The 20,890-nt window shown below is 38.1% G+C and overlaps 1 annotated feature.

The window, feature by feature from the left end:
• Window positions 19,420-20,619: an enhancer, noted in NCBI's record as "MED14-independent group 3 enhancer chr4:33743381-33744580 (GRCh37/hg19 assembly coordinates)". NCBI's record gives its function as "activates an origin of replication core promoter dependent on BRD2, BRD4, P300/CBP and CDK7 cofactors, and independent of MED14, by STARR-seq in HCT116 cells {active_cell/tissue: HCT116}" and the evidence as "EXISTENCE:reporter gene assay evidence [ECO:0000049][PMID:35650434]".

Consider the following 20,890-nt stretch of genomic DNA (forward strand, 5'->3'; position numbering starts at 1 on the left):
TTATTTTGCTGCTCTAGTGTTATTGGTTTTATTACGCAAGGAGAAAGAAGGCAGGGAATTTATGGTCAGGAGATTCCTGGTCAGGAGGTTCATAGTCAGAAGATCTAGACTGGGTCACAAGAAATGACAGAATTTAAGCATTTGAGCCAGGGAATAAGAATGTGTGTGCTCTGCCTGTGTTTTCCACATTCATTTTACTCAGCATTGCACTGTCATCTTGCTTAAGAACAATTCAGTAGGTCAGAAACATTGGATTCCAAAGCTGTTAATGGTTTATTTTCCATTTCTTGCCTTCGCAATATCTGAAATAAAGTTATATCCCAGATAACTGATGGGAAAACAGGGTTCAAAGCTATAGGATATATGACTCATTTAACATAAAATTATTCAAATTAATGAATTAGCAAATCCTCTTGTGCTTATAATAAGCAAATATAAGTTTTATCTTGTCTATTATAAAAGAAATGTCTAAACATTAAGTGCAAAACCAAACTAGGCAGCAGGAGAAGGAAATTAGTTATGTTGTTTTTATAATAAGGATTGTAAAACCAATATCTTAGTGAAATTCTCAGAAAGCTTGATTTAAAAATTTATCAAAATTCGGGAGTTTTTTTGTTTCATTTGGTCTATTTGTCAGTGGTTTGAGGTCTTAGTTCTGCAGCGACATCTTATGGAGTTGGTTAGTTTGCACAACCATTTAATAATGTCTGCCAGAACTGATCATTGTTCTAACAGATTTGATGCAAATAGGATCCCTGCCTGCGCTTTGAATGTGGAAGTAATTAAACGGATGCTATGAGGACTTTTATTTTTTTCTCTGTTGGTGCTTATCTAAAATTTCCTTATCATGGCAACTGTATAATTTTTAAGACACTCCAAAATATGTACTGAGGTCTGAAATTCTCACTACATATTCCAAGTTAGGATAGGAGGGGAGAAGGAAGCTGTTGAATAGTGAAATAAGACAGCAGTAAAAGATCACAGTACAGCTGGTGTTTGTTGGCAAGAGTTTCCACTTAAAAATTTGCAGCAGTGCAAGTACCTCAATTATTATTGGCGCTTTTCACTGTTCGTGATCACCAGGAGTGAAAAAAAAAGAAAAGAAAAGAAAAGAAAATTGAATTCTTTGAAGCTCAGAGAAGTAAACTGAAAAATTTTTGAGTACCGAAATTTACCCATTTCTTCTTCTGATTGTGTTCTTTTGAACAGAACACATTGCATTAAACTCTAGAAAGAAAAAAAGTGACTGTTTTCATATTTTTATGATTGGAGTCACATTCTTAAGATCTATAATGTAGATTACAGCACCATTTTGTTATCTGCTAGAAGAAATATAGCTAATCATCTCTAAATTAGTAATGTTACATTTTATTTTGCTTCCTATTTACTAGTGTGGCACATTTTAATGACAGAAAATTTCCTTGAAGGCAAGAGCTTTACACACAGTAGGATTTCACTCAGTTTTTGCATATATTGACCATTGCAGAATACAAACAACTGTTAAGTAATTTCTCCCAAAGACAGGCCATAATAAAGAGGAAAAATATAAACTATATGACACTAAAAATCCTGTTAATCTTGATCAATCAGTGAATGAAACACTAATTGTGCCAAACAACACATTCTACCTGAACAAAAGGAGGTAATTGCAGTATGTTTCTATGAATACATAGCAGCTGTTCTATGCCATTATTATCACTGGTGAGTAAAGATCATGGTGAATCATTGTCTAATATCTTGTGATCTTGCTCACATATAAAAATTGCCAGGGGACTTCATTAATTATGATTGCATCTTAAGGGCTCTGGACATTTTCATGAGTGCCACAGGACACCTAGAAAATAATTGCATCTTTTGAGAACCATGTGCCAGTGACAAGGTAAAGCTCAGGTTGTATATTCCAGAGATTCTCTGGCAAATGAGCATTGCCTGCCTTAATATTCTAAGCCCATCAGTTAGAAAAGGCTGACCCTATGACTTAAAATTGCATGCTGCATGATTAGAAAGATAGATAACAATATATTTTAAAGAATTATTTGTACCTCACACATGCCCAACAAGATTGAATGATTTTAATTGAATTGAATATTGGTAAATTTGCTAGAAACAGAAAAATAAGAAGTTAAATTTTTTTATTGATGGTGTGAAATATGATGACTTTTATTTCAGTTATGTGATCTAGAGGTAGCAATCACTCATCCAAATAAGTAGCAGTTGGCAATGTGAAATTGAATATAGGAGAAATGAGAGACAACAGTTATATAGATTTGAAGAAGAGTGTTAGATAAAATGCACTTTGGTAAATTCTTGAAAGATATATTATAGAAGATCATAAATACTTCATATCCCAAATAGTGGATTAATCCAGACATGGAAATTTTTGTCAAGATGCTATACTTATCTGCTTTGTAATAGCATCACACTGCTAGCTGATTAGTTTGAGATACTCTTTTTCAAACTTGAGCGAGATTCAGTATGTTACCATGAGGAACGCTGACTCAGCCTTGAAATACAGTGGTAACTACTGGCAGGAATGTCAGAGGCGTTTGAGTAAGAGCAACTCTATCTTGAATAGGGGCTGGGTAAAGTGAGGCTGAAACCTACTGGGCTGCATTCTCAGGAGGTTAGGCATTCTAAGTCACAGAATGAGATAGAAAGTCAGGACAAGATACAGGTCATAAGCACCTTGCTTATAAAACAGGCTGCATTAAAGGGGCTGGCCAAAACCTACCAAAATCAAGATGGTGATGAAAGTGACCTCTGGTCATCCTCACTGCTCATTATATGCTAATTATAATATATTAGCATGCCAAAAGACCCTCCCACCAGAGTCATGACAGTTTACAAATGCCATGGCAATTTCTGGAAGCTACACTATATTGTCTAAAAGGGGGAGGAACCCTCAGTTCTGAGAATTGGTTACCCCTTTCCTGGAAAACTCATGAATAATTCACCCCTCGTTTAGCATATAATCAAGAAATAACTAAAAGTATACTCAGTCGAGCAGCCTGTGCCACTGCTCTGCCTATGGAGTAGCCATTCTTTCTTCCTTTACTTTCCTAATAAACTTGAATTCTCTTTTGTGCCAGGTCCAAGAACCCTCTCTTGAGGTCTGGATCAGGACCCCTTTCTGGTAACAGGAATAGAAGACCATAAATACTTCATAGACAAGGCAACTTCTCAGTTCAGACTATGAAGCTACTCTACACATAGACGGTAACTGATAGCAACATGAGCATACATCACCAATAGGATACCAATAAAAGCATGCAGACCTTCGAGGCCTGTAGGTGTTTAAAGTTAAGATTTTAAAATAGAAAGTAATTTATTCCATGTAACTATGTAATTATGGATAACTGGAATTTGCTCCCCTACCCCTATAAAAAGTACAGAAAAAGATAAATATGCTTAAGATAGCAGACAGAAAATATATTTTTAAAAATAACCAACTTGAAGAAAAACAAGGTTTTACCACTAACTTCCTTTTACGGTATAGGTAGATTGAGAGTTTCAGCTTCATCTATTTTTTGAGAAGTGATATAAGATTGAATCAACCGGAGGAAGATGACAGCTTTTTCTATGCCAAAATATTTTTTAAAGCAAATAGGAAGACAACTGGAAGCAACACACATAAACTGCTGGGTTCCAACATTCTGTTTCTAATTGGCTAATTTCATATTAGCAGTTTTACATCTTTTCTTCTGCTGTGAATCATCATGGGGAAAGAAAACAAGGCAAATGATTTCCTGGCTGAGAAAAACATCTTTGCTTCATTACATAATTTTAATTTGTTCTGGTTTCTATTCTGAACACTGAGAACTCAATAGAGAAAATGTTGCTTTTTAACATATAACTATATGCATTTATATAACTATGTACATTTAAAATGTTAAAAAGCCAACTTCCACCCCATCCCGTTGTTTGTCACATTCTGCTTCCCAAGCCTTTCAAAATTAAAGTCTGTGATGCCTGTTAAGTGCAGATTCAGTCCCATCAATTATTGAGATAGTATTTTCCAGGAAAACATAATATATCAGTAAGCACAGTCTCACTTGAGTAGGGCCTAGAGATAGTCATGCAGCCGAAGTCATACTATTTACCTAATTAGATTGGGGTAAGCCACAAGTACTTGTGAAGTGGCTGATACTAAAATATTAACACAAGCTCTAATAAGAGCTGTCATTTAATATGTATTTATAATATGTAGAAATTCACAGAACATTTTTCTTACTGACAGGGCTGGAAGAACAAAAAATTAAAGTGCTAATCTAGTTATGAAGAAAAGTCCTTGCTAACAACTAAAATTTTAAGTTGGTCTCAGAAGGCCTACTCACTGGGAATAAGGGAAAACTGGAAATAGATCAGTCCTCCCAGACACTAGACCTCCAGTTCCAATTATTTAATCCTTTACTTGATTATAGTGATCATTGCCCTTAGGCTAACACCCTGGCAAAGCAAACTTAATTACACTTCTGAGGAATATCTCATACAAAACTTCAAATTATCTCTAAATTTTTATATCTCTAATGATTGCCACTCAGCAAAAACAAAACAAAATAATAGAAAAACTAACCAAGCATATGAGGAAATCAAATCACATCACCACACAGAGAAAACCCAGGTAAGACAGTCACATTAAGATCCAGATAATGGCGATAAGGGTCATGAATTTTAAATCAAGTAGTCTCTATGGCTTCACAAATATCAACAAGTTAGAGTAAAAACTTTGATGGAGAACTGGAAGCAATAAAATAAAGCAAATGAAAATTTTATTGTGAAAATTTATATGTAAGACCTTGAAAGAAGAACTCAAAAGATGGTGTAATAGCAGATTACACTTAGTTGAGGATAGAATTAGTTGCTCTATAGGTCAAAAGAAAATATTCAGATTGAATTACAGAGGGAAAAAAACGAATGAAATACTGAAACAGTATCATACATATCAAAAATTATAATACTAGAAGTAAAAGAAGTATGACTCCTAAAACATTTCATTGATATTTTACTAGACATTATAGCCAGTACCATAAGACAAAAAAAAAAGGATTAAGGAAAAAGTTATAAAAGAGTAATTTTCACATATGACATAATATCTTTCATAGAAAATACAAACAATCTATAAGAAAAGTGTTAAGCTTAACACATTATAAAAGATAGGTGCAAGGCCAATTAGAAAAAAAGGCATAAAAAATTTAAAATGTAATTTAAAATAGATGACTTTTAAATATCATAAAACACCAAATACCTAGGCACAAATGTAACCAACCATAAACACACAATATTTCTATGAAAAAAATTTAAAATAATATTGAGAGAATTTTTTAAACGTGCATAAGTTGAAAGACACAATAGAGTCATAGATTGAATACTCATTTTTCAAAGACATCAATTTTTCACAAACTGATCTATGGTTTTAGTGTAATCTTAAAATTTCTAGTCATTTTAATACAAAAATCAATGTTGATTCAAATTTTATATAAAAATATAAAGTGTAACAGAGCAGTATATACTGAAAGAAGAATTAAAGTGTGAGGACTTAATCTGCTAGATCTCAAGGTTTCACAGATAGACACCCTAAAGCAAGTTTCTCAACCATGTCATGATTGACATTTTGGGGAGAATGATTTTTTGTTTTGGGGAGCTGTCTTATGACTGAAGGATGTTTTTCCACATCTCTGTCCTCTACCCAGTTATGCATCCACAGTAACCACTCTTTACAGTTGTAACATACATAAATGTCAACAGATGTCAAAATGTCTTCTGGGGAAGGGGAGGAATCACCCCTGTTGAGAATCAGTAGAAAACTTCATGCCTATATGTAACAAAAACCATATACAAGAACATTCATAAGTTAATGTCTGTATTAGCCAAAAGCATAAACAACCCAAATATTTATAAACATTAGAGGGATCAAATAATTAGTATATTATTATAACTGTACTCCATAAACACTGACACTAAGCTAATTTCAGTTATACACAAACATACAAATCTATTCTACTAGCATAATAATTTATATGCCTCGTATTACAATTTCCACTTCCTTTTTGTTCTTTGGTCAACTGTACACAAATTTTGTCTCCTCTTATAAGCTTAAATTCCTTGGAAGCAAGAACTCTATCTGACAAAACATAATAATTATGTATAATGCAATAGCAAGTGGAGTACCTGATTTTTTAACACCTAAGAACCTAAATGGAAAAAAAAAAAGAAGTGCTTAGTGTATACATACATACATATAAATGTATGCATTTGTAATTGTTTCTGTTGTATTGCTTCTAACTTATCCTGAAAAACAAGGGAAATGATCTTTCCTTTATTCCAAATAATAAATGCATGTATACATATGTACTTGTATAATTTTCCAATTCTCCTACATTCAACTGATTAAAGCCATTTTAGTGCATTTAGAAAAAATAATAGGCTGGGTGTGGTGGCTCATGCCTGTGATCTGAGCACATTGGGAGGCCAACGTGGCTGGATGGCTTGATGCCAGGAGTTTGATACCAGCCTGGATGATATAGCAAGACTCCATCTCTATATTTTAAAAAATAGACAAAATAATATTACTTCTTTGAGAAAGGTATTTGCTTTTCATTGTGATCTGGTTGAAATTATAATAATCATTGTTATGAACTGTCATATGTGTATACTGTGTTGAGCACATACATGTAGTATTTTACTCTTCCAACCCATAAAGTCATGATACAGTACTATTATACATCATCTTTTTAAGATGAGGACACTGAGAAAATGACCATATTAATAGACACACAGTGAGAAAGAGTGTACCTGGAATATGAAGCCAAACCATTTAGCACCAAAGTACTTGTTCATGACCAGGACACTGTACTCTCTCTTCTGCTGAGAAGGCTTCTAATCTCCCCTGTGACTCTGAATAGTGTTTTCACAGAGAGGTGTTCATATACAATTAAATTACATAATGTGAACAAAGAACAAGACTTTCGAATAAGCATTGTCAATAAAAGTTCATTCTACTTCCCAAAATTCAGAACCACCATTACTGAGTAACAATTTAATATTAATCAAGCAAACATCACGTGAACTTTAGACATTTAACTTTTACACTCCTGTGAGATAAGCAGTGTAATCACCACATTATGGATAGTGAGACTGATACTAAAAATACTAAGTAAATTGTTCAAGAGTATAAAGATGATAAGTGGCAGAGGCAAGTTTTGAAACTAAGCTTATTATACTATATTATACTATAGCTAGGAAACTTTTCAATATGCCCCACTGCCCTACCTGGTAGGAATGAGCTCATAATAAGATAGAAAAATATGAAAAGCAGTTTTTCTGGAGGTGATTATATCTACCATGAGCAAAAAAGGTATCAGTCAGTGACATCATTTGATTTTGAAGAAGAAAGAGAACGGAAAAAGGTTGTAAACATCAAGATTATTAATTTGTAATCCATTTCAGATATGATCCTAGAACTTAAAAAATAACTTCTATATTAGGATTCTCTGGAGGGAGAGAACTAATAGGATAGATATACGTGTACATATATATATAAAAGGATGTATATGTATATAATAGGATATATACATATATAAACTTATACAATAAATACATATAAATATATATTATAATATAAATATATATTTAAATATTCATAATATATATTTATAATATTATACATTATTTTATATATAAATTTATATTTAAATATTCATAATATATATTTATATATTATATATTTATATTATGTAAATATATATTCAAATATTCATAATATATATTTCTAATATAATATATATTTATATTATATATAAATTTATATATTTATTGTGAAGTTTAATACTCCTTAATAAACGCCCATATATATATATATATCTATATATCCTATTATATACATATATATCCTGTTATATATATATGGGAGTTTATAAGGAGTATTAAACTTACACAATCAAAAGATCCCACAATAGGCCATCTTACACAATCAAAAGATCCCACATTAGGCCATCTTACACAATCAAAAGGTCCACAGTAGGCCGTCTGAAAGCTGAGGAGCAAGGAAGCCAGTCCAAGTTCCAAAGCTGAAGAACTTCAAGACCAATCAAGAGCAGGAAGCATCCAGCTTAGGAGAAAGATGTAGGCTGGGAGGCTAAGCCAGTCTAGTCTAGTCTTTTCACGTTATTCTGCCTGCTTTATATCCTAGTGCCACTGGCAGCTGACTAAATGGTACCCACCCAGACTAAGAGTAGATCTGCCTTTCCTAGCCCACTAAGACAAATTTTAATATCCTTTGGCAACACCCTCACAGATATACCTGGGATCAATGCTTTGCATCCTTCAATCCAATCAAGTTGACATTATTAGATAAAATTAACAATGATTAAAGGCTGATATGAAGTAAATAAATCTTAGGTCACATGATAAAGCAAAAAGGAAATACAATGAAAATATTTTCTAAGTAGAAGTGTATACATGAACAACATATTTTAACAAAAGGAGGAGAAAATACTTATGATAGTTACAGTCCTCATTTCTACAGCTGGTCATGTTGTCATAGCTGGTATTGATGACTACTGTTTTCTACTCCCCATTCTGTATTCCCTTTGCCGTCAGCAAGTACCTCAGCAGGTCATGTTTTTTTTTTTCCTGGTGGAGTTACCCCAACCTTTCTCCCTGAAGGGTCTGGGCCATCTGTAGTCCTGCCTGAATTGGGCTGTTGTAGTTTCCCATTGACCTTAATCACAGGGCATGGTAATACTCAGAGATGCCCTAATGGATCTCCTGTATTCCATGCATACTCTTCCTTACCTCCCTTGTGGAGTAGTAGACTGATTTTATCTTGGTAGTTCATGTCAATCCCACCAGCCAACACTTTAACTCCTTTCTTAGCCTGTTGACTTAAAGGTAGGAGGATCCCAAAGTGTCCAGAAAGCAATCTTAACTTCAGGTTTAATGAAATTGTTGTTGTGTCTCCTAGTGGCAGCATTTCTCCCTCTAGAACTAAGACCTCTAGGCCAGCAGAATGTAATGTCATGGGAACAGGAAGCAAAAATTTTACTAGTGGATCACTAGGGGTGATGGTGAGTGGTGCCACTTCCATTTCCACCCTTTGATTCCTGGACTTGTGAATCCTGGCTATGAGAAAAAATGTATCATATATTGGATGCTGATTCAGAGTATACACAGCCCTCTGAAAAACTTTGCCCCAGCCCTGTAAAGTATTGCCACCTAGTTGGCATTGTAATAGTGACTTCAAAAGGCCATTCCACTGTTGTATCATTCCAGCTGCTTCAGGATGATGGGGAATATGGTAAAACTAGTGAAGTCTATGGGCATGAGCCTACTGCCACGCTTCTTTAGCCATATAGTGAGTGCCTTTGTCAGAGGCAATGCTGTGAGGAATACCATGTCAGCGGATGAGGCATTCCACGAGTCCATGGATGGTAGTCTTGGGAAAAGCACTGGATGCAGGATAGGCAAGCCCATATCCACAGTAAGTGTCTATTTCAGTGAGGACAAACTCCTGCCCTTTCATTATGGAAGAGGTACAATATAATCAACCTTCCACCAGGTTGCTGGCTGATTACCCTGAGGAATGGTGCCATATTGAGGGCTCAGTGTTAGTCTCTGCTGCTGGTAAACTGAGCATTCACCAATGGCCATAACCAGGTTAGCCTTGGTGAGTGGAAGTCCATGTTTCTGATCCCATGCATAACCTACATTCCTGCCATCATGGTCACTTTGTTCATGGGTCCATTGGGTGATGACGGGGTGGCTGAGGAAAGAGGCTGAGTGGTGTCCACAGAAAGCATCATTCAATCCACTTGAATATTAAAATCCTCCTCTGCTGAGATCACCCACTGGTGAGGACTCCCATGGGATACAATTATTTTCACAGTTTTTGTCCACTGAGAGAGGTCCATCTACATACCTCTTCCTCAAATTTCTTTGTCACCAATTTTCCAATCATGCTTTTTCCAAGCCCCTGACCATCCAGTCAAACCACTGGCTACAGCCCATGAATCAGTATGTAATCACACATCTGGCCATTTCTCCTTGCAGGCAAAATGCACAACCATGTGCACTGCTTCTAGTTCTGCCCACTAGGAAGATTTCTCTTCACTGCCATCCTTCAGGGATGTCCTAGAAAGGGGATGTAGTGTTGCAGCCGCCCACTTTTGGGTGGTGCCTGCATATCATGCTCAATCATCTGTGGACTAGTCCCTAGTCTTCTTTTCCTCTGTCATCTGATCTTAGTAAACTCCCCATGAGGCCATTGTGCAGGCTGGGAGAGAGAAGGCAGGGTGGCAGGAGTGGAGACCATGGGCATTTGAGCAACTTTCTCGTTTAATTTACTTGTGCCTTCAGGACCTACTCGAAACCAATCATGTATATAACACTTTTATTTGATGATGGAACACTGCTGTGCACAACCAACTTTATGGCTAGATAGGCCAGAAAGCATCCAGTTCATGATAGGTAGTTCAGGTTGCATGTTGACTTGAGGACCCACAGTCAAACGTTCAGTTTCCACCAAAGCCCAATAGCAGGCCAAGAGCTGTCTCTCAAAAGGAGAGCAGTTACCTGCAGAAGATGGCAGGGCCTTGCTTCAAAATCCTAGAGGCTTCCACTATGATTCATCTATGGGGCCTGCCAAAGACTCCAAACAGCATCCCTATCTGCCACTGACACTTCAAGCACCATTGGATCTTCTGGGTCATAGGGCCCAAGTGGCAGAGCAGCCTTCACAGCAGCTTGACCTGTTGGAGAGCCTTCTCCTGTTCTGGACTCCACTCAAAACTGGCGGCCTTTTGAGTCACTTAACAAATGGGCCTGAGTAACACACCCAAATGAGGAATGTGTTGCCTCCAAAATCCAAATAGGACCTCTAGGTGTTGTGTCTCTTTCTTGGTTGTAGGAGGGACCAAATGCAGCAACATATTCTACACCTTAGAAGGAATATCTCGACAGGCCACTGGACCCCTAGAAATTTTACTTAGGTAGAAGATCCTTGAATTTATTTTCCATCCTCTGGCATGCAAATGTCTCATAATAAGTCTAGTATGTTTGCTACTTCTTGCTCACTGGAACCAATCAGCATAATGTCATCAATGTAATGGACCAGTGTGATATCTTGTGGAAGGGAAAAGTGATCAAAATCTCTCAGAATAGGATTATGACACAAAGCTGGACAGTTGATATGCACCTGAGGTAGGACAGTAAAGGTATATTCCTGGCCTTGCCAGCAGAAGACAGATTGCTTCTGGTGGGCCTTATGGACAGGAATGGAGAAAAAGACATTTGCCAAGTCAATGGCTGCATACCAGATACCAGGAGATGTGTTAATTTGCTCAATGAATGAAACCACATCTGGTACAGCAGCTGCAATTGGAGTCACCACTTGGTTAAGCTTATGATAATCCACTGTCATTCTTCAAGATCCATCTGTCTTCTGCTCAGGCCAAACAGGAGAGTTGAACTGGGATGACGTGGGAATCACGACACCAGCATCTTTCAAGTCCTTGATGGTGGCACTAATCTCCACAATCCCTCCAGGGACACGAAATTGTTTTTGGTTTACTATTTTTCTAGGTAAAGGCAGCTCTAATGGCATCCATTTGGCCTTTCCCACCATAATAGCCTTCATCCTACCAGTCAGGGAGCCAATGTGGGGGTTCTTCCAGTTGTTAAGTATGTCTATGTGAATTGTGCATTCTAGCAATGGGGAAATGACCATAGGATGAGTCCAGGGACCCACTGGACCCACTGTAAGTTGGACCTGAGCTAAAACTTCATTAATTACCTGATCTCCATAAGCCCCTACTTTAACTGGAGGACCACAATGATGTTTTGAGCCTCCTGAAATCAGCATCAGCTCAGAGTCAGTGGCCAGCAGTCCCCAAAATGTCTGATCATTTCCCTTTCCCCAATGCACAGTTACCCTTGTAAAAGGCTGGAAGTTTCCTTGGGGAAGAATGGGAGAAAGATTAACAGCATAAATTATCAGTGGTGTAGTGAGGTCCTTCCTCAAAGGGACCTGGCCTCTCCCTCACTCAAGGGGTTCTGGGTCTCTAAACTGGCTCAAGTCTGGACATTGATTGAGGGGCAGTGGCTCTGTTTTTATCATTTAAATTAGCCTTTTGTTCATTTGACCTGGAAGTTTTCTTCTTATATAAATTAAGCAGGAATGCAGTAAGGTTCCTATCAATTTCACTTCTGGGAACACCGTGATTAATTAGCCAATGCCAGAACTCTACATGAGTCAGACTATTCTGCCTGCTGCCTTGCCTCTGCTGTCCATTATGGTAGCTATACCCAACTTGCCTTTGATGTTTGAGTGCCGCCACTTGGCCCTGCCACCTCGGGATCTGATTATTCCCATTGTATTTAAATTTTGTAGTTGGGTGACTGTAGTCCCTACTGGTAGAGCTGACATACAGAGAAGAGTAATTTTAGGGCTCTTCAGAGATGAAGGTGCTGCCCTCACAAATCTATTTTGCAAAGCATTGGTCAAGGGTAAATTTTCTAGACCCTCCCAGCTGGGATGAGTAGGTCTAAAGTGACTAATTCACTCTACCATTCCAATCTCCCTAAGCCTTTGGATCCCTTCCTCTACATTAAACCAAGAGAGATCAGGCATTTCCAGTTGGCTTACAGTGGGCTATTTTTTAATCCATATTTCAGCTAACCAAGCAAATAAACTATTAGAACCTCTTTTAACTCCCCAAGCCCCAACATTAAATGCAGAATCCCTACTTAGTGGGCTGAAATCAATAAATTCAGCCTGATTTAACTCTATGTTACTTCCACCAATAAACCACACCCTTAATATTCATTCTCATGCCTATTCTCTAGATTTCTGCTTATATAAATTAGAAAACATAAGCAGTTCTTTTCAAGTGTACCACCCCTCCTCATGGGTCACACTCTCAACCTCACCTCTAGGGGCCCACCAGGAATTTAGTCTACTTATAAATTTAGAAGCAAACAGTGGTGTTGGGGAGAATCAACATTATCTTGCCTGGCAACTGCCTTGAGGGAGGCCATCACTGTTGTCCTAGGCAGCACAGGGTTTATCTCCTCAGACAAAGGCGGAAATGTTGATGGCAGCATGGGTCGTGGGTTGGGGAGGGGATTATGCCACTACTGGGGATGGAAAAGCTGTTTCTTCTCACAAAAAAGGTTCATCAGAGTTTAAAAGCTCAGTGTCCCAGCTTCATCAGGGTCTTCCCACACAACCCCATTCCAAGTTGCAGAGTCCCATTCTTTTCCAATCAATACCCTCACTTTAACAGTGGACACCTGGTGAGGCTGTCCATACACCTTTTGTTGCAGGTCAGCCACTCGCAAGGTAAGAGCTTGGGTCAGTTTTTCCACAATTTCAGCTTTTTCTCCACAGGAGATAAGACTCTCACTCAGGGCAATATTAGAAGATTTGAGACTCTGTATCTGCTTCTGAAACCAGGAGTTAGAATCCCTGAGTTCATATTTTCTTTCATCACTTTGTCCAGTGAACTTAGGAGCAACCAACAAGCTTCATATTATGTTTCTTGGTTCTGCATATATTGTCAAAGGTGTTATGTTCGGAGTCACTAAACTCCTTGCCTCTTATGAGCAGTGAATCAAGAGTGTCAAATGCATTTATTTTGCATAACTCTCTAAACAATTCATGCCAAAGACTATCAGTGTTCTCCATACTATTTGAAATAGAGGTCAGGGCCAGGCACAGTGGCTCACGCCTGTAATCCCAGCACTTTGGGAGGCCGAGGTGGGCAGATCACAAGGTCAGGACATCAAGACCATCCTGGCTAACACGGTGAAACCCTGTCTCTACTAAAAATACAAAAAATTAGCCAGGCATGGTGGTGGGCACCTGTAGTCCCAGCTACTCGGGAGGCTGAGGCAGGGGAATGGCGTGAACCTGGGAGGCGGAGCTTGCAGTGAGCAGAGATCGCGCCACTGCACTCCAGCCTGGGTGACAGAGTGAGACTCTGTCCCAAAAAAAATAAAAAATAAAAAAATAAAATAAAATAAGTAGAGATCTGGAGTGGTGGCTCATGCCTGTAATCCCAGCACTTAACTCCTCACAAGGTCAGGAGTTCAAGATGTGCCTAGACAACATGGTGAAATCCTGTCTCTACTAAAAGTACAAAATTAGGCGGGTATGGTGGCACGCACCTGTAGTCCCAGCTACTTGGGAGGCAGTTCATGAGTTTATTAAGAAGTATTAAACTCACACAATCACAAGGTCCCACAATAGGTTGTCTGCAGGCTGAAGTGCAAGGAAGCCAGTCTGAGTCCCAACATTGAAGAACTTTAAGTCCAATGTACAAGGGCAGGAAGCATCCAGCATGGGAGAAAGATATAGGCTGGGAAGCTAGGCCAGTCTAGTCTTTTCATGTTATTCTGCCTGCTTTATATCCTGGCTGTGCTGATAGCTGATTAGATGGTGCCCACCCAGATTAAGGGTGAATCTGCCTTTCCCAGACCACTAACTCAAATTTTAATATCCTTTGGCAACACCGTCACAGACACACCCAGGATCAATACTTTGCATCTTTCAATCCAATCAAGTTGACACTCAGTATTAACCATCACAACTTCCAATTTTGATATTTCAAATAGTACTCTACATTTCATAAACTGCTTTTTATATCTATTCTGACACTTTAAGAATTTCATACCATAGAAATTAATCTTATCAAATGATAATTCTTATGCTCAATATCACTAATCATCACAGAAATACAAAGCAAAACCACAATGAGAGTTCATCTTACTGGAGTCAGAATGTCTGTTATTGAAAAGTCAAAAAGAAAAAACAAAAAAAACAAAAAAACAAAAAACAGATGTTGGCAAGGATGTGGAGAAAAGGAAATTCTTAGACACTGCTGGAAGGAATGTAAACTAGTACAGCCACTAAGAAAAACAGTATGGATATTTTTCAAAAAACTAAAAGCAGAATTATCATTCAATTCAGCAATCCCACTACTCGGTATCTACCCAAAAGAGAAGAAATTGGTATAACAAAGGGATACCTATACCCCATGTTTATTGCAGCACTATTCACAAGAGCAAAGATATGGGATCAGCCTAGGTGTCCATCAAGGGATGAATGGATGAAGAAAACGTAATATAAATACACAATGGAATATTCTTTAGCTATTAAAAAGAGAATAAAATCATGTCCTTTGCAGAAACATGGATGAAACTGGAGGTCATTATCTTCAGTGAAATAAACCATGCATAAAAAGTCAAGCATTGCATGTTATTGTAAGTAGCTTAACTCCAAAATGCATTTTAAAACATTTTTTCCCTTTTCTCTTTTCTTCCTATTCTCCATCTAACCTTGAAACAAACTGCAGAAGCTTTTCTTCTTAACCTTAAAATAGATTTCATATCCCTCCCTTGCACACTGTATATTTCCTTCACATTTATCTAACTGTATGCTAGTATCTAATTATGTGCTTACTTAGATGTTCCGGTTGCTAATCTTGAAATACACAGACTAAGCCTGGAGACCTAGCCTGCAAAAAGGGCATCTAGTCAACAACCCAGCCACTCTTGAGATGATGCCAGCAGGCACTTCAGGTGAACTGAAACCTAAGATAAGCCACCGAAGAAAGACACACAGACCTTGTACTCAGCACAATTCCTGCATGCCTCATATAACAAGTTTCCCTTTTTAATCCCTTGCCTTCTCCCCAGAAATTTCAAGTGGTTACTTTGGATGTAACTCTGGCCACTTTCACATTACTAGTTTTGATAAAAAGTCACTTTCTTCCTATGATACTTCACTCTTGTTACCTGGCTCTGCAAGTGCTGAGTGCCTGGACCTGCATTTGGTTACATTCTCTCTTTTTTTTTTTTAATTATACTTTAAGTTCTAGGGTACATGTGCACAATGTGCAGGTTTGTTACATATGTATACATGTGCCATGTTGGTGTGCTGCACCCATTAACTCCTCATTTACATTCTCATGTATATGTGGGCGCTAAAAAGATTTGAACACATGGAGGTGGAGAGTGGAAAAATAGATCAGATATTGGGAAGCCTGAGTAGAGGGGAGGGGAAAGGATGAAAATAAATGTGCTAAAAGGCAGAAACATACAGTAAGAAGGAATAAATCCAATGTTTGATAGCACAGCAGGTTGACTATACTTAAAAATAAATTGTACTTGGGCAATGATATCCTAAATAACCCCCCTTGATCACTATGCATTCAACTCATCTAAAAGTCTTCTCATGTACCACATAAATTTGCACAAATAAAAAAGGAAATAAAAAATTTTATCATTAAATTTAATCTTATTAAATAATAGTTTTTAGCATTGAAGTGCAGAGCTTGAAAACTCACTAGTCCCTAAGAACTTCGATTATTGTACCACATAATAATTTGCTTAGAGAATTGCTTGGTTTACAGTTATTGTACTTTGTGATTAAAATTAGGATTACTTAATCTATATCTTCATTCCATTTGTCATCACAACTTATTTCTGTTTCCTTCATCACGATGCAGTGAAAATGATACTGATCACATACATATTCAGAATACACAGCTTTGCATTCTGGTTTTACAAATAGCTAATTCTGTTTTCTGATCACTAAACCATAGCACTGTTATAAGGATTAGAAGAGATCACATCTATTAAACTGTGCCTTGTCAATTGTAAAGCCTTATAAAAGAACAGTTAATAACTTTTACAATCAGGATCTGTATCTTCCTGAAGGAGTATGGCTGCCAAAAGCAGACTAGATTGGTTTATGCAGAAATGAAGGAATTGCATGGCATTGAACTACTACAGTATCCTTCTAGAGTTTTCAAAATTATTTCCATTGTCAGATATTGATATCAAAAAATTTGAGATGCTAAATATGTTGCCAGGTGTCCTAAGATACTATTTTCCTATTCACCACATTTAAAACATAATAAATGTAGGAATTTAGTAACTTATGATGAAAAACAGAGTGGCAACTGGAATAAGGTTCATTTCTTTTAAATTTAAGTCTGTTGATCTCTATTTACAATTAATATATAGAAATAGATATTTATATATCAAGATGAAATAATCCAACATGTATAGCTGCATCACTGAATACTCTCCCATCTTTCAGCAATGGCTATATTCACACAATGCTCGCTTCTTAGCCAAAACAGATAAATTGCGAGGACTGTCCTTATACATAGAATCCAACTATAGTTTAGGAAAACACTAGCCTATAGGATGAAATACAATTCTATGATATAAAATGTCACAATAAATTTCTCTAGAAAAAAATCCATTTCTTTTAACAATGCAAATTTAAATATTTCTTTGTATAACCCATTCTCTCAAAAAAATCTCAAATTTTGTAAAGCATTAAGGATATAAACTAAAAGTCATTTTCTTTGAAATAAATTGTATCTTAAACAAATGACCCACTGGTTAATTGACCAATTTGTTTCTAAAGCTCAAATGAATCAGATGTACCAGTGATAGGGTACAGGGCTAAAAATTAGCAGAACTTATTATTTTATATTATTATGTCTATTCTCAACTCTGCTCTTTGCTGCACTTTTTCTATCAATATGTAGATGGAGAGAGAAGATAAGTGACTCCAAACTTTTTCAATTTATATTTTAAGTGTTTGGGAAGCAGACACAGGAACTTCTGTTGCCCTAAGAACAGTGTAAATAATGACAATAACTATTGAAGGCAGAAATTCGGGAAATGTTATGGTTACACGATCCTCCCTGAGGCATGAAAATAGGGTCTGAAGGCAGGAAACATAAGGCGGATTCACACTTCAGCTATGACAGGAACTATCCTCTCCATTTGCATAGGGCGTTCCCTGAGTAAATGACTTTGTAACTTTACTTCATCCTCTTCATTTACATAGGGCATATACCAAGTAACCAATGGAAACCTCTACAGTGTATTAAATCCCCCCAAAATTCTGTACGGGGCCCTCGAGCCCCTATGCTTGGGCCCGCTCCCAAACTGTGGAGCGTACTTTCATTTTCAATAAGTTTCTGCTTTTGTTGCTTCATTCTTTCCTTGCTTTGTTTGTATGTTTTGTCTGATTCTTTGTTCAAGACACCAAGAACCTGGTCACCATCCACTGGTAACACTCCCCACGTGGTGTGAGTCAAGCAAAATCTCAGATAAATTTAGAGAGAGACTTTCACAAAACTTTACAAGCCAAATTTACTCTCCAAATTGTAACTCCATTTCAACGTAGCTACACTGAGTTGAAGCTAAAGGAAATATCTCTTGGAATAACATTTAAGAATCACCTCATTGTTAATGATTTATCTTTGATCCTGGTGCCTCTTCACTAGCATTACATTGGAATTTTATATTCTTTAGCATCTGATTGAAAGGAGGGGCCAGCTAGGCTTCCTGGGTAGAGTAGGGGCTCAGAAAGCTGTGAAACTCACTCATTTCCTGCATCAGGACTTACTTTGGTCCTGGATGAATAATATTGAAGACATATGCTTAAAATATTCCTAATATCAGAATTTGTGCATGTGTTTTCTTCCCCAAGAAAGCTATAAACAGTGAAAATTTTGCTGTAAGCTTCCCTGTGTCCTCTCTCCCTCTCTCTCTTCCCCCTCCCCTGAAACTAAAATGAATGTTAATTGCCCATTTGTCTGTGACCAGTGGACCTTATCTATGCTTCCAATTCCAATTCCTTGTAAACATACTTTGTAAAGTCCTGTGAGATCCTGTCTCCTTTGCCGATGCAGGGTCATAAAGTAGATAAAACCTAAGTTGCAATTCTGGTTTTCCTCAAGATCTGAGACATGTTAATTGTCTTTGTTTCTCGCTCTGGTAACATCTGCCCACCTCACGTATTTCCTGCCTTAAAGAGTTTAAAAGGTGATTGAAGAATGTAACACTGGCTACCGCTCGGGACCTCTTCCATGCTGTGGAAGCTTTGTACTGTCACTCTGCTCAATAAAGCCTATGGCTTTTTTTGCTCTTGGTCAGTGTCTCCATCATTCCCCATGGGCAGCCACCTCACCAATTATTTGGCGTGGCTAAGGCAAGAACCTTTGGCATTACATGATGAGAAACAAATTCACTGTGCACTTTCTAAAAATGTCTGTCCAGTGAAACAGGACGCACTTATCCACAAGGTACACGAAGCAAATTTACTAAGTACAGATAGCCAGCAAAGGACAACGGAAGCCTAGTGTTACCGGGGGTCCTTGCTCACAGAGCTTCCAGCGAGGTATGCAGTGGTCAGTGATAATGGAATCCTTGAAAGTAATCCCCTCACTCCAGGAACTAGTGCTCAGCTGGCAGAATAGCCCTCACTCAGGCACTAGAATTAGGAGAAAGGAAAAGGGTAAATACATATACAGACTCTAAGTATGCTTACCTAGTCCTCCATGCCCATGCAGCAATATGGAGAGAAAGGGAATTCCTAACTTCTGAGGGAACACCTATCAAACATCAGGAAGCCATTAGGAGATTATTATTGGCTGTATAGAAACCTAAAGAGGTGGCGGTCTTACTGCTGGGGTCATCAGAAAGGAAAGGAAAGGAAAATAGAAGAGAACCGCCAAGCGGATACTGAAGCCAAAAGAGCCACAAAGCAGGACCCTCCATTAGAAATGCTTATAGAAGGGCCCCTAGTATGGGGTAATCCCCTCTGGGAAACCAAGCCCCAATACTCAGGAGGAGAAATAGAATGGGGAACCTCATGAGGACATAGTTTTCTCCCCTCAGGATGGCTAGCCACCAAAGAAGGAAAAATCCTTTTGCCTGCAGTTAACCAATGAAAATTAGTTAAAACCCTTCAACATACCTTTCACTTAGGCATTGATAGCACTCATCAGATGGCCACATTTTTATTTACTGGACCAGGGCTTTTCAAAACTATCAAGCAGATAGTCAGGACCTGTAAAGTGTGCCAAAGAAATAATCCCCTGCACTGCAAGCCATACATTTCAATCCCTGTATCTTTAACTTCCTTGTTAAGTTTGTCTCTTCCAGAATCGAAGATGTAAAACTACAAATCGTTCTTCAAATGGAGTCCCAGATGCAATCCATGACTAAGATCTACCACGGACCCTTGGACTGGCCTACTAGCCCATGCTCTGATGTTAATGACATCAAAGTCACCCCTCCTGAGGAAATCTCAACTGCACCACCCCACTACGCCCCAATTCAGCACGAAGCAGTTAAAGCGGTCATCGGCCAACCTCCCCAGCAGCATTTGGGTTTTCCTGTTGAGAGGTGGGAATGACAGACAAGACTAGCTAGATTTCCTAGGCTGACTAAGAATCCCTAAGCCTAGCTGGGAAGGTGACCATTTCTACCTTTAAACACAGGGCTTGCAACTTAGCTCACACATGACCAATCAGATAGTAAGGAGAGCTCACTAAAATGCTAATTAGGCAACAACAGGAGGTAAAGAAATAGCCAATCATCTGTTGCCTGAGAGCACAGTGGGAGGGACAATGATCTGCATATAAACCCAGGCATTCCAGCCGGCAATGGCAACACCCTTTGGGTCCCCTCCCCTTGTATGGGAGCTCTGTTTTCATTCTATTTCACTCTATTAAATCTTGCAACTGCACTCTTCTGGTCCATGTTTGTTACAGCTCGAGCTGAGCTTTCGCTTGCCGTCCACCACTGATGTTTTGCCACTGTCGCAGACCCACCACTGACTTCCATTCTTCTCGATCCAGCAGGGTGTCCGCTGTGCTCCTGATCCAGCGAGGTGCCCATTGCCACTCCTGATTGGGCTAAAGGTTTGCCATTGTTCCTGCATGGCTAAGTGCCTGGGTTTGTCCTAATCGAGCTGAACACTAGTCACTGGGTTCCACAGTTCTCTTCCGTGACCCACAGCTTCTAATAGAGCTATAACACTCACCACATGGCCCAAGATTCCATTCCTTGGAATCCGTAA

The sequence above is a fragment of the Homo sapiens genome, chromosome 4, assembly GCF_000001405.40.
Source record: "Homo sapiens chromosome 4, GRCh38.p14 Primary Assembly".
Classification (NCBI taxonomy): domain Eukaryota; kingdom Metazoa; phylum Chordata; class Mammalia; order Primates; family Hominidae; genus Homo; species Homo sapiens.